The sequence below is a fragment of the Homo sapiens genome, chromosome 5, assembly GCF_000001405.40.
Source record: "Homo sapiens chromosome 5, GRCh38.p14 Primary Assembly".
Lineage (NCBI taxonomy): Eukaryota > Metazoa > Chordata > Mammalia > Primates > Hominidae > Homo > Homo sapiens.
The window spans coordinates 96,478,788-96,501,191 of record NC_000005.10 but is presented as its reverse complement, the minus strand read 5'-3'; the positions used below and the strand labels follow the sequence as shown (position 1 = coordinate 96,501,191).

The following is a 22,404-nucleotide window of genomic DNA, read 5'->3' as shown; positions in this document are numbered from 1 at the left end:
TTCAGTAACCTCTTTCCTTGTCTGATGCCTCTGGTATCCGACCCATAACTTTTTAATCTAGATATGGCCATTCTGCCGAAGTTTTCAGGGTTTTCAGGTTGACGCCTCAGCCAGGCACTCTACCTGACTTTGTTAACTTTATTTTTATTTGCACTTGGTGCCACACTCTTCAGCCCACTCCACCTCCAGTCCCTGGGGCCACCATTTCTCTGGGAGGAGTAGCCAGGCATTTCTTGTCACCTAAGCTCTAGCCATTGGATTCATCTTCATTCCTGACTTTTGTAGTCAACATGATCTGACATTGTTCTTTAAAATATATCTCTTTTCCATCATCTATTTCCATGACTATTATCACAACCCACATTTAAGTTCTTAGCACTTCATAGTTACACATTTAACAGCTACGATCCCATTTCCCGAGACGGTGATTAGTTATACATTTAAGCACATGACTTTGTTCTGGCTAATGTTATGTAAGACAAAGTCACTGGGAGATTCTTAGAAAAGTTTTTCTCTGAGACAAAGGGACACATAAGGAGAGAAATTAGCCTTCCTGTGTTTGGAGGTGATTGCACACAAAAGCAATATCTGAAACTGAGACCAACCTCTGTGACCATAAGGGAACGAGCTTGAAGATGAAAATCAATATGGTGAAGAGCAGAAAGGTGGAAAAGCCTAGGTTATTGATGATGTCAGTCCTAGAACCAGTACAACTAGATCCAAATGTTGTTGACATCAATTACAGACAACATTCCTCTACCAACAGCACAAAACAAAGTAGCTTAGAATATGTGAGCAGCCACTATAGAGTAGAACTGTTAATAAATATATTACTATACAGTTAATTATACAGGCATACCTTGTTTTATTGTGCTTCTCTTTAATGTGCTTCGCAGATATTGCATTTTTTACAAATTGAAGGTTTATGGCAACCCTGCATTGAACAAGTCTATAGGCACACTTTTTCAACAGCATGTGTTTACTTTGTCTTTGCGTAACATTTTGGTAATTTTCAAAACATTGCAAAACGTTTTCATCATTATTTTATCTGTTATAGTGATCTGTGATCAGTGATCTTTGATGCTACTATTGTAATTTTTTTGGGGGGCCACAGACTGCTCCCATATGAGGCGGCGAACTTATCTGATAAATGTTGTGGGTGTTCTGACTGCTCCAAGGACCCGCCCCTCTCCTCTGGTCTCCCTATTCCCTGAGGCACACAATATTGAAATTAGGCCAGTTAATATCCCAACGATGACCTCTAAGTGTTCAAGTGAAAGGAAGACTCACATGTTGATCTAGCTTAAATCAAAAGCTAGAAATGATTAAGCTTAGTGAGGAAAGTTGTGTTGAAAGCTGAGATGGGCCGAAAGCTAGGCCTCTTGCACCAGTTAGCCAAGCTGTTGAAATGGCAACAAAGGATTTAGAAGGTTACAGAAATGTAGTTGATAAAGCAGCAGCAGGGTTCGAGAGGATTGACTCCAATTTTGAAATAAATTCTACTATGGGTAAATGCTATCCAACAGCATCACATAGTCCAGACAAATCTTTCACAAAAGGAAGAGTCAGTCAATAAGACAAACTTCGTTGTTGTCTTATTTTTAAAAATTGCCACAGCCACCTCAGTCTTCAGCAATCACCACCCTGATCAGTCAGTAGACATGAATGTGGAGGCAAGACCCTCCATCAGCAAAAAGATTACAACTCACAGAAGGCTCAGATAATTGTTAGCATCTTTTTAGCATAAAGTAGTTTTAAAATTAAGACACAGTTTTTTAAGACAAAATGCTATTGCACACCTAGTAGACTACACTATAGTGCAAATATAACTTTATATGCACTTGGAAACGAAAGTTCTTGTGACTTGCATTATTGCAATTGTTTATTGCAGTGGTCTGGAACCAAACCCAGAATATCTCAGAGGTATGCTCATATAAAGAAAAGTATAATGTCTAGAAAAGGATTGATGTTCATTTATATATTTTACCCAATTCTTCCACACTAGGGAACTCGTTAAAAAAGGTTTAGCAGGTGTGGTTAAGAGGACTATTTCTGGTTTGATTCTGTTCTTTTTTTAAATTTATTTTATTTTCATTTTAGTTTTGTTTAACCCTAAGCTTGCCAATGTTTTCTTTTTTTCTTTTTTCTTTTTTTTTTTTTTTCCTGCACAATGTTTATTAGAAATCTCTGGGATCAACATCTGTAAAGGAGAAGGGAAAGAAAGTGTTGGGTAGCTACATCCTAAACTGAGCCCACAGGAAAAATTTGGAAGAAGAATGGTCCTCCATAGTGGTCTTGAGTTCAAAAGAAAGAACTCGTCCTTTGTAGCCCCATGTCCATCAGTCACTGAATGTGAGCCATGTAGCCTTGGACCTGGAGGCTGGATTAACACAATTTCAGAGGGGCTGGCTATGAAAGGGTGGCAGCGGACATACTAGCAACAGTAAGGACAACAAGATGTTCATTGTTTCACTGAAGGAAAATCTGAATGGTGCATCACTAGTTAACAAGATAATTATTTACCACAAATAAAATGGTACAATTGTATTATCTTGATCTTTATTGCTTGACATATTTTATTACACACTGCTACTTTATTCAAGTCAGAGATCCATAGCCTTAAACCTGATATTGAATTCTAGAGGGAAAATGCAATTACATGCAATAGCAATTACATGGCTAAGAGCTAAGTAGCTAATTGGAGTTGAGGTTTATCCTTTCAAAGGAAATGGCCATACTGCCCAAGGTAATTTATAGATTCAATGCCATCCCCATCAAGCTACCAATGACTTTCTTCACAGAATTGGAAAAAACTACTTTAAAGTTCATATGGAACCAAAAAAGAGCCCACATTGCCAAGTCAATCCTAAGCCAAAAGAACAAAGCTGGAGGCATCACACTACCTGACTTCAAACTATACTACACAGCTACAGTAACCAAAACAGCATGGTACTGGTACCAAAACACAGATATAGACCAATGGAACAGAACAGAGCCCTCAGAAATAATGCCGCATATCTACAACCATCTGATCTTTGACAAACCTGACAAAAACAAGAAACAGGGAAAGGATTCCCTATTTAATAAATGGTGCTGGGAAAATTGGCTAGCCATATGTGGAAAGCTGAAATTGGATCCCTTTCTTACACCTTATACAAAAATGAATTCAACATGGATTAAAGACTTAAATGTTAGACCTAAAATCATAAAAACCCTAGAAGAAAACCTAGGCAATACCATTCAGGACATATGCATGGGCAAGGACTTCATGTCTAAAACACCAAAAGCAAGGGTAACAAAAGCCAAAATTGACAAATGGGATCTAATTAAACTAAAGAGCTTCTGCACAGCAAAAGAAACTACCATCAGAGTGAACAGGCAACCTGCAGAAGGGGAGAAAATTTTTGCAACCTACTCATCTGACAAAGGGCTAATATCCAGAATCTACAATGAACTCAAACAAATTTACAAGGAAAAAACAAACAGCCCCATCAAAAAGTGGGCAAAGGATATGAACAGACACTTCTGAAAAGAAGACATTTATGCAGCCAAAAGACACATGAAAAAATGCTCATCATCACTGGCAATCAGAGAAATGCAAATCAAAACCACAATGAGATACCATCTCACACCAGTTAGAATGGCAATCATTAAAAAGTCAGGAAACAACAGGTGCTGGAGAGGATGTGGAGAAATAGGAACACTTTTACACTGTTGGTGGGACTGTAAACTAGTTCAACCATTGTGGAAGTCAGTGTGGCGATTCCTCAGGGATCTACAACTAGAAATACCATTTGACTCAGCAATCCCATTACTGGGTATATACCCAAAGGATTATAAATCATGCTGCTATAAAGACACATGCACCCATATGTTTATTGCGGCACTATTCACAATAGCAAAGACTTGGAACCAAGCCAAATGTCCAACAATGATAAACTGGATTAAGAAAATGTGGCACATATACACCATGGAATACTATGTAGCCATAAAAAAGGATGAGTTCATGTCCTTTGAAGGGACATGGATGAAGCTGGAAACCATCATTCTCAGCAAACTATGGCAAGGACAAAAAACCAAACACCACATGTTATCACTCATAGGTGGGAATTGAACAATGAGAACACATGGACACAGGAAGGGGAGCATCACACACTGGGGCCTGTTGTGGGGTGGGGGGAGGGGGGAGGGATAGCATTTGGAGATATACCTAATGTTAAATGACGAGTTACTGGGTGCAGTACACCAACATGGCACATGTATGCATATGTAACTAACCTGCACGTCGTGCACATGTACTCTAAAACTTCAAGTATAATAAAAAAAAATACAGCACTAACACCCCTAAAAAAAAAGCAAAACAGTGTTTCTAGGTCTAATCTGTCTCCCAAATTGCAATAAATATGCTAATTCTAAAGACGAATATTTTCCATAAATAAAAAAGTTATTTGGGCAAGTAACCTAACCGGTTTCTTCATCTATAGAATAGATGATAATAGATGTTTCACAGTGCTGTATAAGCAGAAGTTCTATCCACACTTTCTTTAAAAGCTTGCCAATGTTTTCTTTCCTTGGACAGCATTTGTCTTATTTTGATATCCACCTGCAATCATATTAGAAACTTAGTAAAAACTACTTAGTGATTCCACTTTGCATTTGCAGCCTTATGACCAAAATGTTTTGAGTCTAAGCCTATCCATATGCCAGAAAAACTTCAGGAACTGTTAATGTCTCTTCTTTTACAGAAATTCCACCTCTATCTTGATGTAACAGGGTTGATCAAGAAAATTAGAAGCCGAGGGGCCAGAAAGCTAATTTCCTTAAATGCAACAAAAAGAAAAGTTTTTCCAACTACCCCTGTGCAATAAGAAATATTTCTTTCAAGTACCAATTTCTTCAACTGTACAATGAATTATAATTTGAAGATTTTTGAAAATAATAGAGTAACAACAAAATATGATAAAATTAAAACTATATGAAAATAGAGTAAATGGAATAATAATTCAAATAAAGACTAAAATAAAATGACATTTATTATGGATTTTGTAATCAGTACACAATTATATACTTAAATTTTACTTTATAGACATAAGATTACAGCCAAGGAGGTTAATTTCAAATTTTATGACCAGCCACTTGTATTTTTTTATCACATATGAAAATATTCACTCTTACTACTTTACTTCAAACAGTGACCTATAAATTTATTTAGACAATAATAATTAAAGGCCTTTTCTTTTTCAGGACAATAAAAAAATTAAAGGACATTGAAAATACTGCTAAAGAAACTTCACTTCTTGATTATGGCCTCTGCATTGAAGATCTGTAGCAATTATTTTAATTAATTTTCAAATCTTCCCACAGCCTCTCTGTTCAAAGAAATATTATCTTGAAATAATTTTTGTGAATACAAATCAAAAATTGATCCACAAGACAATTCTACTATAAAGACACATGCACACTTAGGTTTATTACAGCACTATTTACAATAGCAAAGACTTGGAACCAACCCAAATGCCCATCAATCATAGAGTGGACAAAGAAAATGTGGCACATATGCACCATGGAATACTATGCAGCCATAAAAAAGAAGGAGTTCATGTTCTTTGCAAGGACATGGATGAAGCTGGAAACCATCATTCTCAGCAAACTAACACAGGAACAGAAAACCAAACACCGCATGTTTTCACTCATAAGTGGAGCTGAACAATGAGAACACATGGACACAGGGAGGGGAACATCACACATCAGGGCCTATTGGGGAGTGGAGGGAAAGAGGAGGGAGAGCATTAGGACAACTACCTAATGCATGCGGGGCTTAAAACCTAGATGACGGGTTGATAGGTGCAGCAGACCACCATGGCGCATGTATACCTGTGTAACTAACCTGCATGTTCTGCACATACATCCCAGAACTTAAAGTAAAAAAAACAAAAAACAAAAAACAGTTGATCTACAAAACAGTATTACAAGTCACTTATTTTAACAAGTCTGCTAAATATTTTCTGCATGAGTTTTCTTGATTACAATATATTGATAACATGGACACACTTTTTTTTTTTTTTTTTTGAGACAGTCTCGCTCTGACGCCCAGGCTGGAGTGCAATGGTGCGATCTCCGATCTCGGCTCAGTACAACCTCCGCCTCCCGGGTTCAAGCGATTTTACTGCCTCAGCTTCCCGAGTAGCTGAGACTACAGGCGCCCACCAACACACCTGGCTAATTTTTTTGTATTTTTAGTAGAGACGGGGTTTCACTGTGTTAGCCAGGATGGTCTCGAGCTCCTGACCTCGTGATCCGCCCGCCTTGCCCTCCCAAAGTGCTGGGATTACAGGCGTGAGCTACTGCGCCCGGCCAACGCACTTTTAATATAACAGAATATTTAGTTACATCAGTTTCCCATCCACCTGCTAAAATCATTTAATGATTGTATTGGTCATTCCCACTGATTGGTGGGAACTCTTATACTAATGGTTCCCATAATTTCCACTGCATTATTTTTCTTGCCAGACTTAGTTCATTTGCAGCCTGAAGAATCGCTCTTCTATTGGGCCACCTTGAAGTTGGTCTTCTAGTTCTTTAACATCTGGTTCCACTTCAGCCATAGCCAGCTTATCATTTGTAATCTGTTCTGTATGCTTTTTATATGCTTCATTTTTAGGGATTTGCTAAAGAATATCAAGAGTCTTTGTGTACAATATTCTTAGCCTCTCATGTAGGCTCTTTCATAAAGCCAATGGTGTTCCTCAGTGTCTGATTCTGTTCTTGCTATTCCATGCTCTCCTTGCCACCATGTCTTTATATCAAAACTTTTACTATCATTTACAGGAAAAAATAAATCTCAACCTCAGCTTAAGTGATAACTCTTATTTTAAATTCTGGCTCTTTTAAAGTTATGGATAAGGAGGGGTCCTTCATACATACTGAAAGCTACCCACCACAAGTTACCATTACTTTTATATTGCATTGCTACAAGGTAGTTCATCGCCTCTGAGAAACTTGAGGTTCTTTTCTTGTTATCTGGGGAATGGTTCAGCCTCTGTTTGCTTGGAATTGCTTTTGTTGGGCTATCCCCAACTCTTCTCTGTCCTTTACCTCCATTCAATGAGGGATTAGAATAAGTTTATTTATTTATTTAGTTAGTTAGTTAGTTATTTTGAGACGGAGTCTTGTTCTGCTGCCCAGGCTGGAGTGCAGGGGCATGATCTTGCTCACTGCAGCCTCTGCCTCCCAGGTTCAAGCGATTCTCCTGCCTCAGCCTCCCAAGTAACTGTGATTACAGGTGTGCACCACCGTGAGTGACTAATTTTTGTTTTTTTAGTAGAGACAAGGTTTTGCCATATTGGCCAGCCTGGTCTCGAACTCCTGACCTCAGGTGATCCACCTTGTCCTCCCAAAGTGCTGGGATTACAGGCATGAGACACCGTTCCTGGCCTAAAATAAGTTTAGGCACTGCTGAAGAGAAAGAGCAGGCATGTTTTATATTTTGATGCTTTTCTTGGTTAATTTCAATGAATTTCTTCATTGCAAAGAAACATGGACTCTAAACTACTTCCTGTGTAACACCATTAAACCTCCTTCCTGCTGAGATTCAAGCCTGGAGTCTCACAGTACACCCAGCATGATGCTTGGGTTGGTGGGGATACATACTGGTTTAGAATTTCCAAGGGACTGAGCTACAGTGGAGTTTATTTTTGCAGCCTGCCCAACTTCCAACTGGGGAGTTGCAATTTAATTAGTGAAAAAGCTGAGCCACTTTTCCTTATTCTCTCTCTGTGAAGAGGCAAGATGGCGGTAGGACTAGATTGCAGGACAAAGGGACTCTTCACTCTATTCCTTACCTGGGAGGGCAAAGCACTTTATCTAGGGTGAAGAGGAGAAAAAAATGAACAAAAGTTCAACCTTAAAGAGAAGTGAAAATGGCATAAAAAATGTTATGAAACGAATATAAAAATGGTAATTCCAAAATAAAAATAGATCAGAGTTAGATATTTTTACATGTAGGAATCTGTGACTTCCTGAATGGTAACCACTTTTTCCATGGTTTAAAAAAATAAATCAGTGACTTATAAAGCACTGTTTCTATCCTCCAATTTAGGAAGAACATTTGGTGTATAGAAAATAAAATTATCTGTAGCTTTTATCTGTAGCTTTACTGTATTGACCTTTTAAAGTATTTTTTTGTTTGTTTTTGTAAAAACGGGGCCATTTTTATGTGACATAAACATTTTTAAAAGTGTTTTCACCACTCCCAAGTCAATCGTCCTGTTATTTTGGACTCTAACCTGCGTCATTTGATTTCACTGAAACGCTTGGGGCATCTCTATTGCTACATTGCTGTAATTAATCATTTCCTTTTCAGTTAATCTGGCATGGGGCCTCTCTTTAGCCAGACATAGATGTCTCCTCTTCTCAGCTCATATTTTTTAGTTTTATCTACTTCCATGTGTGTTCTCCATTGGAGTTTATTTTTGTCATTTGGTCATTCATTATGTGATGACAGGAGGGTGGGAAGAAAGGTAATTGGCTGGTAGGTGTCTTGATCAAGAGGAAATCCCGATCATATTTATTTTTAAGAAGAAGAAAAAGAAACCAGAATACACAAGAAATAACTTCCAAAGATTCAAATAACTAGGAGGAGAGCTTTCCTATGTAAGCGAAAAGCTTTGATGACAATGTTTTCTTAGGGGGCTAACATACTAAATAGAATAGAAATAGACCCCAGTAGCTGATATGAGTTGGATGCAAAACTTCCATAGAGTTTCAGGAAAAAAAATGCTTTTATTATAGAAAATGTAAAACATACAAAACTAGAGAGACTAATATATTGAGACAATAGAAAGTAATGAAATATACTCAAGACCCAACTTAAGCAATTGTCACTTTCCACGGATCTCTTAATTTTTTATCTTCTAAATAGGACTTCCCTGCAACTTCAACTGGTCAAACTTTAAGGGAATCAAAGCCTCCCTCAAACGAGGGTAAGTGGCAGCCTTGAAGATTCCTACAAAATGCTTTTTTAAAAGGTGAATTATTTTATTTAAGCATGCATGCATGCATACATAAAGACAAATACACAAATAAAATGTATAGCTCAAGGATCCTTTATTAACTACGTGTATCTCTGTGACTAACTCCTAGGTCAAGAAACAGAATATTACCAGCATCCCAGAGTCCCCCTGTGCCTTCTTCTAGTTATTAGCTCCTCTGGAGATGAATGTTATACTGGCTCTGTCCCAATACATTAGTTTTGCCTGTTTTAGAACTTCATATAAGTGATTGAATCGTATACTATGTACAAGGTTGCATCTGGCAACTTTCTCGCCAATTATGTTTGAGAGATTCATTGTAGTTTTAGTTCATCTTCATTGCATATAGTGCACCATTGTAGGGATACAGCACAATTTATTTATCATTCTACTGTTGATAGACATTGGGATTGTTTTTAATTTGGGGTTATTACAAATGCTGCTACTATGACTATTCCTATGCACATATTCCTATTTACATTCCTGTTGGGCATATATCTAGGGATGGAATTACTGTGTCACAGGAATATAATCAACTTAAATAAATACCGTCAGTTTTCTAACATGGTCATTTCTATTTACATTGCCACATGCGGTACATAACCTCATCAGGATATGGTATTGTTGGTCTTTTTAATTTTTTTTTTTTTTTTTTTTTTTTTTTTTTTTTTTGAGATGGAGTCTCGCTCTGTCCCCCAGGCTGGAGTGCAGTGGCGTGATCTCGGCTCACTGCAAGCTCCGCCTCCCGGGTTCACGCCATTCTCCTGCTTCAGCCTCCCGAGTAGCTGGGACTACAGGCGCCCGCCACCACACCCGGCTAAGTTTTTTTTTTGTATTTTTTAGTAGAGATGGGGTTTCACCGTGTTAGCCAGGATGGTCTCGATCTCCTGACCTCGTGATCCACCCGCCTCGGCCTCCCAAAGTGCTGGGATTACAGGCTTGAGCCACCGTGCCCGGCCTGGTCTTTTTAATTTATGTCACTCTGGTGAGTGTACAGATATATCACATGTACTTTTAATTTGCAATTTCTGGCTAATGAGGTTGAATACTTTCATGTTTCGATATTCTCTTTTGTAAAGTGCCTCTTTTGCTCTTTTGCCTATTTTTTTCTGTTGGTTTGTGTGTCTTTTCCTTATTGATTATAAGAGTTATATATTCTTGAAAAATATGAGCCATTTGTCAGACATTTGTGTTGCAAATACCATTTCCCACTGAATGACTTACCTTTTCATGGCCACTGGTTTTTTGTTTTGTTTTTTAGATAAATACAACTTTTTCATTTTTATTTTTAAAATTTCTGGTACCTTTTGTATCCTATTTAATAAACTTTCATTTATTCCAAAATAATCTCTCATGTTTTCTTCTGAAAGTTTTATTGTTTTGCACTTCATATTTAGATCTACAATTTATCTGGAGTTGATTTTTTTAGTAGTATCAGGTAGGAGGTTCAGATTTATGTTTTTCCTATATAGGTATGCAATTAATTTAACATAATTTGTTGTGATGACAAATCCCCACTTCTCTGCTATATGATTTTTGTCATTTGTATTCTTATATATGTGGGTCTGCTTCTGGACTCCCTATTCTATTCCATTAGCCTATTTGTATATGATTATGCCAATACTACACTGTTGCTCTAGCTTTATAATTTGCCTTGGCAGTGGATAGAACTCCTCTTCCAATTTTGCAGTTCTTCTTCTAGACTGACTATGACTTGCTATACTTAGTCCTTTGCATTTCACATGCATTTTGGATTACTATATCAATTTGTCTGTTTACATACACACACACACACACACACACACACAGACACACACATATACACACAACACCCCTCTGCTGAAATTTGTATTGGGATTGTATTGAGTATTTGGATCACTTGGTTAGGGGCCAGTTGGGTTCTTTGTGTATGGCAGGTGGGCAACTGCAGGCAGAGGAGGCTGGAAAGGTAAGTGGGCCTAGATAAGGCAGGGCACAAAAGAGGATGTTAGGTATTTTGAACTTTGTTCCAAGAACAGAGAGAAGCAGGGGAGTGTTGACAATTGTTGATCATACTTATATGGCCCTTGCCAGTGGTTGGCTTTGTGAAGCTAGAATTCTGCTTTGTAGAAGTGTAAAGCACCCAGAAAGCACATATGTCCAGATGTCATTTCTTACAAAGTCCAGTCTACAGCTGCATTATCCTCTTCATTACTATTTAAAATTACATAGAAGTGACTTCTAGAGGATGAAGTCCATCTCAAAAACATAGCTCCTTTCTTATTCACAGCCTCAAATTAATTGTTCTTAGACTAAGTGGTACTAATAACCCACAGTCAGTTTAATGGCCTCTGTATCTATGTGACAGGAATGCCGTCTCATAGCCCAGCTGTGTAGAGAGAGCAGGGCATCTTCACGGGGTTGTTGGAGCCTATTGTCTAAGTAGTATCTTTATAGCCTCTCAGCAAACAGGAAGAGCTACATCCCCTAGACAGCTGTGGTTTTTGATAGTCTTGGGGAGGGGGTCATGCTGGGAAAGACAGGAAGGAGAAGAGAAGCATGCAAATTGAGTCCTACATAACTTTTACATCCAATATGAGCCAGGATTCATATGTGCTCATATTGAGTGTCCCTGGGTCCTCTACCCTCTCCTGATTATGGATTTGTGTAGCATATGTAAGTCTGTGTATGCATATATATAATACATACAATTTTGAAAATGTAGAGAATTATACACGATTATCAACCAGGAGAGCTATTCCCTTCATAATCAATGAGGACATCACTCTCTGTGGTTGTGCATTACTCAATCAGCTCATTTGTAAATGCAGCCCTGCTGCCATTATGAATTTCTTTACTGATGGAAGAAGATGCCAGCCCAAGTTACTCTTCAGGCATCCTTTGATCTGCCTCAATTTGGCTTAAAAAGCAGAACAGAAATAATTGTGGTGATGAGTCTATTGGAACCTAAATCTACACGTCAAAAAACAAGACAAGAGTTTGTAATTATCCTCTTCAATCCTCTCTTTTCCTTAGTCTGTCCAAAGAGCTGGATGGCTGAGCATGTGCTGTGTAAACTGAAGGGGTTTTCCAGGAGCTTTCTGAATCCAATTACTAGTAACAAGTTCTTCTGAAGTCAAGTTTGCACAAAAGTGGTCAGATCTGGTGTCAAATCCAGGTCTCCATTCTATGCCCTCTTCCTTAAAGCCAAGTTGCCCTTTGTGGTCCTTGGTATCATTTCCTACATAAATATCTTGGTTTGTGCCATTTTCATTTATCATTGAAATTTTAGTAGAGTTGAGCCTCAAAAAGAGAGAGTTTGGATCTTGTTCTTATTTCTCCCCAAATGAGCATTTTTAATTTTCTGAGTAAATTTACTAAACTTTTCTTAATGCCAGGACATTGGGAAGAGAAGACTTTGTTCGGTTGTAGAAGATTCTGTTACATCCTTCCTCAAAGACAATGATTACCACTTACTCGTGGTGCATTTGCATACCTTCAAAAATCCAAGAAAGGAAACGGAGTCCTCTCCACTGAAGATCTACTCTAAGGGATCTGCTGCCTCCATTCAGACACAACTATCTGGAAGCTTCTCAAGACTGAAAAAAGTTACATCTCACTAGCTACACGACAATATGTAAAGTATTTGGCAATGTGCCTTGTTAAGCATTAAAGAAATGGCAGTTATTATTAAGCTGTCACTATTTTGAAGTTTTGCATTTTTTGACATTGAAAATATAAGATGAAACAAATAGTAAAATAAGGGAAGAGGAGGTTCATCAATGTATATTTTGCAAATACTTAGGGTTTTTTTTTAGCTGTTTCTTTTTAAAAATTCTGGATATCATTAAATGCTGGTGGTGACTTTTTATCATGCAGGAAGAAATATGTGAGTTCTATTTGTCACAGAACACTAAATCCCCAGGAAAAGGGACTACAATTCTCTAAGTCTCTTATGCTTACTTCAAACCTGTGTTAGACTATTGAGTTAAGGACAACTCTGTCCATACACACTGAATTAGCAAGCAAGTAACTTTTCTCTAAGGACTTGTTTTTCCCAACCTCACTTGATTCTGTTCTGAAGCATAAAGTTGCTTAATAATTACAGTAACAGATGATATTTTTAGCCATATGTCCAATTCTATTAAAATTTTATGAGTTAGTCACATTGTATAAAATTCCCATGAGTAAAGTTACATAAAAGCAATGGGAGGAGGTTATTAACGGTTAGTGGAATGCTGGAGAAAAATCTTACATAAAAATGTCTGCATTTTGTTCCTAATGTATAATGGCATATACCCCAGTCCTCTGCTTAACATTATGTGTTTGGTGCCCTTTCGTGATGCCACCCTGATTTACAGCAATGACAGAATAGAAATTGAGTTTCATTCACATGCTTTCAGAAGTCACACTCCAGAATAAAATTTTGGATCTGCCCTTATCTAAGTACTTTCTTCAAGAGGAATATTTAAATTATGGCTTAAAGAAGGTTCAAATTAACTGGAGAAATGTCACAAGGAGAGGCCAGTGGCTATCCAAAGCCCTCTGAAGTTGTTTAAACTTGAGTTATCCTTATCCTTGGTCTAGGAGTCTTGTTCCATAGGCATTAATGCCTGATTCAGTTAGTGTCTGAGAATAGATTTGTCTCATGGACCAACTCACTTTAACCCAAGCTCATGAGAGACCAATGTCTAAACATCAGATGGCTTATGTATTAATTTATGATGAAACTATAACTGATGTGGGAAATGGAAAAGGCATCAGAAGATCAGAAAGTATGGGATTCCGAAATAGTGATTTTATTGTATGTTAAATGTTATTATGCTATGATAGTATGATGTACTCATTCATATAAAATACACATATCTGCATTGTCTAGCCTCAAGGGAGAGTCTTGGAAATATTACCCATTATTTTACTATGTTGCAGAATAGGCCGTGGCTCTGTTGTATTTTTAAACACATATGGTATGGACATTCTGGTGGTGGGTGGGGAGGTCCAACCACAACCTGTAATATGTGGTGCAGAACTGCCCCACATATTACAGGATGTTTTTCTTTTCTGACCCCTACTACAGATTACAGTGATGCTCTCCAATCTTTACAACAACCAAAAGCGCCCTCACATACTCTTCACTGCCCCATGGGGGGAAGGAGTCTACTCCCAGTTAAGGTCCACAAGTGGGCCTCAGTTGGAAAGAGTCAAGAAATTATAAAACCTTTTCCTTTTACATAGCATGCACAATTTTTGATTGGCTTTTTTTCTTAGATTATTTGGCCTTGTGCTTCTCTTTCTTTAGATAATCTCTTAGAGGTCCATGTCATAGATATGATATGATAACCAGGGACGTCTCACAGGAGGCTACCTGGGGATCAGGATAGAGTACATGGAGAAGAATCAAGGAGCAGGCTCTAAGGGCCTGTGTTATCAATGTAAGTGCATCCTGGTACATTTTTTACTGGCAGAATCTGCCCCCCCAACACAAAAGATCCTACATAGAACTCCAGTGTAATCTTCAGACAAGAGTGAAGTGCTTTGGTAGAAATGCTGATGCAGTGGAGGGTAGGAGACAGCTGGAGGGAGACGCTCTGTCTGCTCAACTTCCTTGGCAGTCCCCCATGAGATAACTATATGAAACCTTAGTGTTCTAAGGATAACAATTTTAAAAACTCTGATCTAGGCTCATGCAGGGTTTGGTTGTTTCTGCTCATTAAGGTAGACAATGACACATGGATTTGAGGCCAAAACTCTACCTAGTAAAATGGTGTGTCTCTGTCTGGAGTGTGTGCTCAGGAGTTTCCAATGGCAGATGACAACTGTTTCTAGATCTGGGAATTCAGACTTGGCTACCTTTTCCTCAGAAGCATGAGGTTACTCCTGCATTGGGAAAGATTACTCCTCCCTTCCTGGGACCATGCTTCTGGGGCTGTACGTTGCCATACTAGTATCCTAAATTCTCTTTGGTGCTCTAGTGCACATCCCCACACCTTGCTCACTGCTGACTAGACACAGTAGTGTTTTTCATTATCTCTCTCCTACCTTTGAACACATTGTCTATTATTAGGGTGGGTTTTTATATAGCTGTCCTGATCTACTCTGTATTAATTTTGTTGTTTAACTTAGTAAAGGCAAATTGTATTTTTTTTGGACCTCTCTGGAAGTCCAGAGGCACTCCGCTGTGGTCTCAGGGACCACCAATCTAATTTCTGTAGTTGTCTCTAGGTACAATTAAAGGGAAAAATACAACAAAATCTAAGAGATCAAAAGAAAACCTTAACTTTTAGTTGTAGTGTGTCTTTGTACACCCCCAGTAATTGTAAGGTGAATGGTTCACAAATAAGGATGCTTCCATGAGTCCTGAGTGGTCTATTTTCAATACAGAAAGAAAAACTTTTGACTGGGGTGAAGCTGAAGAATTATATATTCTCTGAGCTCTCTCCCTTCCTCCCCAGAACAAGTACACTTTGGGTAGGCAACAAATAAATTAAACAGCTGATATGACTATTACCAAGAAGATTCTGCCATATCTTCTCTGACTTCTAAGGCCAGCCTGAGGCAAAACATGTTTTTCGTTAATGGTCCCAGGTTCGAACTATTCATATTTGGGTGTCTCTTCTCTCCCTTCTATCCTTTCTTCCACTTTTGGTACCCACTGCCTTGTTACTCTCTTCTTTAGACCACCAAATCGGCTCTATGATTTTTTACTTTTAGCTTTACTTTTTAATTTTAACCAAAAATATTTAAAATAAAATTGCAAGCTGATTATGTTAGCAGAATCTTAGGCATCAGGGAGTTGAATAAGAATTTTAAAGATGGTAATAACTTTCTAGAACTCTGAACATCACTTCATGTGAGGACTTACCATCTTTCTTTCCACACTTCAAAGAAGAGGAGTTGATGATCTGACTGGTCAACTTGGGCAACATTGACTTGTGAGTGTTCGTATTGTTCCTTCAGGTAAGACAGCACTCCCTAATCCACACTCACTTTTCAATCCATGAGACTTAGTGGGGCCATGGCCTATCCTCTGTGACATTTTGACCATTTCTCTCAACATGAATCAGAAGCTGCTCCACAGAACCTGAAAGCTCACTCCTTCCTTCTCTCAATTTTCTTACTCCATGCATTTACCCCAAGATTACAATATAAGAAGTGGTAGAAGTTCTGCTCAGAACTTAATTCTCAATTGTTTACTTCAATCTTTGCCTTCCAGAGAGCTCTACATTTGAATAGTGGATATGTGTGTAGCTATTGATGGGAGTGAACTTTACACTTACTTGGTTGTTGTTCTTTGCATAGAGTTCTCACAGGTACTTTTATTGACAGTACAGAGTAGGGGAGGAGAATTGTGGGAAGAGAGTAGCATTAATTGGCAGAGCAGGAATAGAAAAATCCTAGGTCTGTGATCATGCTAATGATGGCCCCCCAGCTCTACCATGATGTTATGAGCTCGTTGGAGTTCATTTTTCAACTGCAGAGTGTTTCAAGAGCTCAAGATATTCTCTAGTGAGAGAGAAAATTTCTCCTCTTTTTCTCTTACAATCACATAGGTTAGAAAGGGGAATTTAGTAAACCGAGATTAACCAAAAATAGTGAATATTCATAGAAACTGAGAATCATGAATGGTGGAAAAGTCCAGGCTTATAATTAATTAATATCAATTTACCATCTGTTCCAGATTGACTAACCCATCTGGTGTCTGCTGCCAGCTAGGATCAACACATCTTCCAGATGCCTCTGCTGAGTGTATTATTAAAGTTTGTACTTGATTTAAAAACAGATGTAGAAGGGCAAAGTATAGTGTTTAATCACAATTAAAATTGTGTTGGCTTTTACTTTTCCAACAACTCTAATCTAGTCATATGAAATCATTAGCTATGCTAAAAGTGTGCGTAAGAGTGACAACTGGAGTGTGTTGGGGAAACTTAGTCATAATGGCAGGCACAGCCATTGGTAATGGCAACCTTGGGTATAAGAGAGGAGTAGGCTTAGAGAAATTCAATCTCCTCATCAGAACCAGAGAGTTGTGGTCATGTAAAAAGGCTGGCAGGAGTCCTCAAAATCATGCTCACAATGACAGCTACAGACTTATTAAACAGGTGGCTATGCAGGTGCTGTCCTAGGTTCTGAAGTTTGGAGTACAAGAAGGTAGACACAGCACTAAGGATAGTTAATTGCTAGTAAGGCTTGAATCTGCCCCAAATAAGGCCTCATGGGAAGTTCACATAGGCGGTCAAGAGGCTGCGTGGTGTAGAGGGAACAGAACACTGAACTTGAAACATAGGATTAGGGTGTGAGTCTTGACTCAGCACTTCACTAGTTGATTTTGGAAAATCATTTAACTTCTCTGAGCTTGTCCTCTTATTTTTGAAGGGTTGTCACAAGAATCCCAATAAAATTCTTCATAAACTATAAATCAAGATAGAGCTATTTTATATTCTTTTAGAATGAGTCAAGATACAAATTGATTTTAATAATCAATCAACAAAAAGCCTATCATGTAAAGTATCCAAATTGTTATTTCATTAAAAGAAAAAACAATGAAAGATCAGATTGAAGCCAGACAACTTACAATGAAGCTCATCCATGAAAAGTGAAAAACTTTCCTGGAAATAAAAAGTCAGAATAATTCTTTGATAAATCCTTATTAATCATTATTATTAATGATAAATCTAAATCATTATTAATTTAGTGTTTTTTGAATTAACCTCACTTTTGTGAGATGGCCAGGTTAATACAGTGTGAATTTACTCTAGTAGATATTAATTGAGAACTTACTAGGTACAAAGTGCAGTGTTAGGCATGGAAAAGTGCATGACCGATACACATCCAGTATACATGGGCACAGCTATTTTACTTGTCTATGGTCAGCACCCGTTCTTATTTGTTGATGTTTGTTCCATACTGGTTGTTAAAGATTTTGACTATCATCTCTAGATAAAAGGATTAATACAACACAGTTTCTCATAGCCTTTGCCCACACCTGAGGTTCATAGACTCTAACTTACATTTACATTTCAATGGAAATTTATGACTTACTAGCTTGGCCCATATTTTCTTTAGTGTTGTTTTTTCTTTTGCTGACCATTGATATTTTCTTCTACTTGTTATTAAACATGAAATGATAAAATGTATAATATAGAAAACTTATTATCTTGACATGTTTACAAAATAAGTAACACTATTATTTTGTAGGCTGAGCCAAGAGCTCAGAAGTGATTGATGTATTTTCCAAGGAATAGTGACTAGGATGGTGAAGGAATTGAACCCATGTCTGTCTGACCTCAAATTTGGACCTTTAACCATTTCCTAGTGAATGTTTAACAGGATTTTTTCCCCGTCATGGGCTCCATTTTTCCTTGGGTTATACTCTACTTCTCTCTAGCACTTCAATTCTTCATCCATCAGATTGTAGTTCAGAATGGAAGGCCACGTTCACACAGTGAAAAGGAGGAACTTTCCTCTCTCACCACAGCCATGAAGATAAATGACAGTTATCCTATGACCAGACAGGAACATGACAATCACCAGATCAGAGTTGGTAGTGATCTGTTATCATCAATAAAGAGGAGTTTTTTTCTTCATTGCAAAATATTTTACTACAGAATGCATAGAATTCTGGGGGTTATGAGAACAGGTAAGACTCCCATGGGTATCTATATATCAAGGCACTAATGCCTATAAGCGCCATACAAAGCATAATAGACATCAGGATAATTCCTCTAAGAGACCTGGAGGAATAAGAGACAATTTTCATTATTGTATCCTTATTATAAGCTGGATACTAGATGGGGAATTTTCATTCATTGCTTCACATAATTAGGTGGCTTAAATTCATTTTTTACCCTTTTTATAGGCAGCCTTCTGACTTCAGTTTCATGGCAACTAACCATGTACTAACCTGTGCTAACCTTTTGGATGCTGGTATTTCTCATTGTCTTTTTCTTCTTCCCCAGTATGAGCAGGATTGTGTTTGAAAGATCATATTGACAGATTGCTTCCAGGGGATATTTTTAGTGCTATGGATAAGAAAATCTTCAGCAAAGGTCAGATCTTTCACTGTTTTAATTAAATTGCAGAGAAAAGAGATTATATCATAAGGGTGGCCAGCCAGCTAACTCTGCAGCAATATACACCAAGGCATCATAAATCTCCTTCATTACCATGCTCATGTAAGAGTGATGTGGGGCACCAAGGCCAGGTTTTAATTTAAAACGAGGCTTCATAATTACTTAGAGTTTTTTTAAGTTGTCAAGGGATATTTAATAATGTTTTATAGATCCACAGTGATTGTGATTATTACTTTTTATTGGTATAATACTTTATTACTTCCCCTGCAGGCATGAGTAAGCAACTTTTTTAAACAATAGGGTCTTGCCATTAGTTACTAAACACCACCAACTTAATCTTTTCTGTGACTACAAGAAGATATATGTCTTTATTGGAAGTTTTCAAAAGCATTTTCCCACTTATTTCCCTTTTCATGTGTTCTCCAGATGAGAAAGTTGTTTGAGTCCCTTTTGAAACCAAATGTCTTATACAGATTTTCTCATGAGAAAAGATGCTTTGCTCCCAGGGAGAGATCATGTTAAAGATAGTTCCTGAAGTGTTATGGCTATGACTAGACTGAAACATGGCTTGCTTTGTAAATGAATACATTCTCACTTAGGATACATCTGTTTCTTATTGGGCCACAAGCAAGCAACAATCCAGCTTTTCAATGATTCAGCTCAAATTGTCTCTTAGAGTGGGTAGGCAATAATGAATTTTAAAATTAGCTTTCTTGTGTTACAAATTAGATATCAACATATTTATTTAAAATGCTAGAAAATACCAAAACTGTGTTTAAAGGATCTAAAAGAAGGCTCTTATCTCAAGAGCTACCTGTGACATGGTTATTTGTGGGGTGTTTTTTTTAGTAGATTCACAGTCAGTATGCAAAGACAGAAGCAGCTGTGCAGTGTGACACATGAGAAATGGACATCAAGACTGTGTGGACACAGGACAATGCTATGATGAGTGAGTGTTAGTGATTATTTCTTCTAATGAGGAGCTCCTTTAAAAAAAAAAAAAACTTTGATTGAGAGCTTTTCTCTCCACATGCCAATTTAGCTGTAAGCCTGTCTCCTGAGAAGAGTGTGAAATGTATCCATTAGCTTCAATAACTTTAGCTTCAGTGACAATCTTGTTCTTTGGTTGGCTATCTGTGCTCTATAACCTGTCCCTTCCATAACTACTGCCCTAGTTCTTTCTTCACCTTTATGTCCAAAATACTTGAATTATTCCTGCTATCTCCATTTGCTCACCATCCTCTCTAATCCATTCTCTCCCTAATTTGGCTTATGCCTGTTCCATTTCACTGAAACTGCTTCAAAAGGTCACTGGTTGCTTCTCTGTAAAACTTAACAGTATAGACCACCCTGTTCTTCCTAAAGCACTTTATTCTTTTCGTTTCTATGGTACCACAATATCTGGGTTTCCTCCAACCTTTTAAACCACTCTTTCTTTGTCTTCTGGATGGAATTCTTGTCCTCTGCTAGTTTCTTACATGTAATTCTTGCTCAGAGTTCATTTCTAGGCCATATCTCACTTTCCCTGGTGATGTCATTCATCCCCATAACCTCAGTTTCTATTAAGTGTCAGTAATTTTCCTTTCTCTATCTCCAGTTTAGCCTATTCATGGAAGGAGCAGACCCATTGAGACAATGGTCTACAAGACATATCTACTTCAATATATGGCAGGGACTATAAAATCAATCTGTCTAGAATCGAGTACATCCTGTCTTTCCCAAGCCAGTCATCCAAACACACCCTATGTTCCTTATTCATAATAATTCAAAACAGATTACTACTATTCCTCTGAATGCCTCTACATTGTACTTATTTTCTGTATTCAATTCTACTCTTCCTGTTCCCATTTTACTACCATATTCCTGAACACCAAATTTCCCTGCCTGAACCTCCCCAATAGCATGCTAATTGTTCCAACCTGCCTTATTTCCCTACAGTTATGCTCCGTCCTACAGATAGAATCATCTTTCTTTACTGTAAATTTGATCATTTTATTTTCCCCACCGAAATGGTTAATGTTTTTCCAAAGCTCTTAGGATTAAATGCAAATTCTGTAACATGACTTAAAATTGCCTACTTGTTCTGGTCTCTTCTTAATTTTCCAGCTTCTTTTCTTGATAAACCCAGAATCCCCTCTCCCCACAGATCTGCCAAAGGGCTCAGCTTTCCCTCAACTTAGAGGATCTTCGTGTGCTGCTCCTGCTGCCTGGAGTGCTCTTGCCACCCTCCTTTGCCTGTTAAAATATTACTCTTCTTTAGGCCTCAGCTGTATTTTTCTTCCTATAATTTACTACAATTCCCACCTCACTCCATAGACTGTAAGGCCCATGGAGGCAAGGGACATTATCTACTCTTTAAGAGTGCCAGCCGGGTGCCATGGCTCACACCTGTAATCCCAGCACTTTGGGAGGCCAAGGAGGGCAGATCGCGAGGCCAAGAGATAAAGACAATCCTGGTGAACATGGTGAAACCCCGTCCCTACTCAAAACACAAAAATTAGCTGGGCATGGTGGTGCATGCCTATACTCCCAGCTACTGGGGAGGTTGAGGCAGGAGAATCGCTTGAACCTGGGAGGCAGAGGTTGCAGTGAGCTGAGATTGAGCCACCGCACTCCAGACTGGCAACATAGCAAGACTCCATCTCAAAAAAAAAAAAAAATAAGGAGTGCCTGGCCAATGGTAGTTACTCACTAGATATTTTTTGAATGATTGAGTATATTTCAAAGTCTAACTTCACAGCAACTTTATTCCAAACATCCTCACTATGCATGTTTCTACTTTCAAGGAGCTCTGTTGAGCTAGTGTCAAAAAGTTGATTGTCCACTAATTACATTAGATAATCAGATCCAGAAGCAGCTACCAGTGATATGAGTTCTTGTGTCAACATTGAACTCTGAGCTTTCAGTGGACTTGACAGAGATGAGTGTCCAAGTGCCGTGGGAAGAGCCTGTACTAAGCAGGTGTCAGCATGTAGGCTTCCAAATGCCCTCTATTCCTGGATGACTGGGAGACCTGATTTGGGCTCTGCCAGCTGCTCTCCTACTTTATGTGGCTCCTCCTCAGTGCTCACTTTCTACTGCTTTAATTACTATGATTGTTCTCCTCCCCAGTTACACCCAATTAGCACTTTATTTCTTTTCTCACCTCCTACCCTATGCACCACTTCATGTGTTCAATTGAGTCTATCAGTTATCCTGTGACCTGGCCAGTGCGCTCCCTATGTAATAGTGAAGAGACTAAGACTAGTTTTTAATTATATAGATATGCAGTGGCCGAGTTGAGCTTTGAGCTCCAATGTCAGTGCCCATTTTATGGTTTCTGGAGG

The 22,404-nt window shown here is 38.2% G+C and overlaps 1 protein-coding gene, 1 long non-coding RNA gene and 1 pseudogene across 12 annotated transcripts in view, besides 1 other annotated feature; all 3 read right to left on the bottom strand.

Moving 5' to 3' along the window:
• CAST (calpastatin) overlaps positions 1-22,404 on the bottom strand; it is an 813,255-nt gene that overhangs the window by 273,492 nt on the left and 517,359 nt on the right. The window lies entirely within an intron of this gene.
• Positions 1-22,404, bottom strand: part of LOC101929710 (uncharacterized) — a 669,085-nt gene that overhangs the window by 129,894 nt on the left and 516,787 nt on the right. The window lies entirely within an intron of this gene.
• The window catches only part of LOC102724070 (NADH dehydrogenase [ubiquinone] 1 alpha subcomplex subunit 5-like), a 61,527-nt pseudogene continuing 45,514 nt past the window's right edge, over positions 6,392-22,404 (bottom strand).
• Positions 17,080-17,280: a silencer, noted in NCBI's record as "peak5360 fragment used in MPRA reporter construct". NCBI's record gives its function as "represses an SCP1 promoter by STARR-seq MPRAs in K562 erythroleukemia cells {active_cell/tissue: K562}" and the evidence as "EXISTENCE:reporter gene assay evidence [ECO:0000049][PMID:32103011]".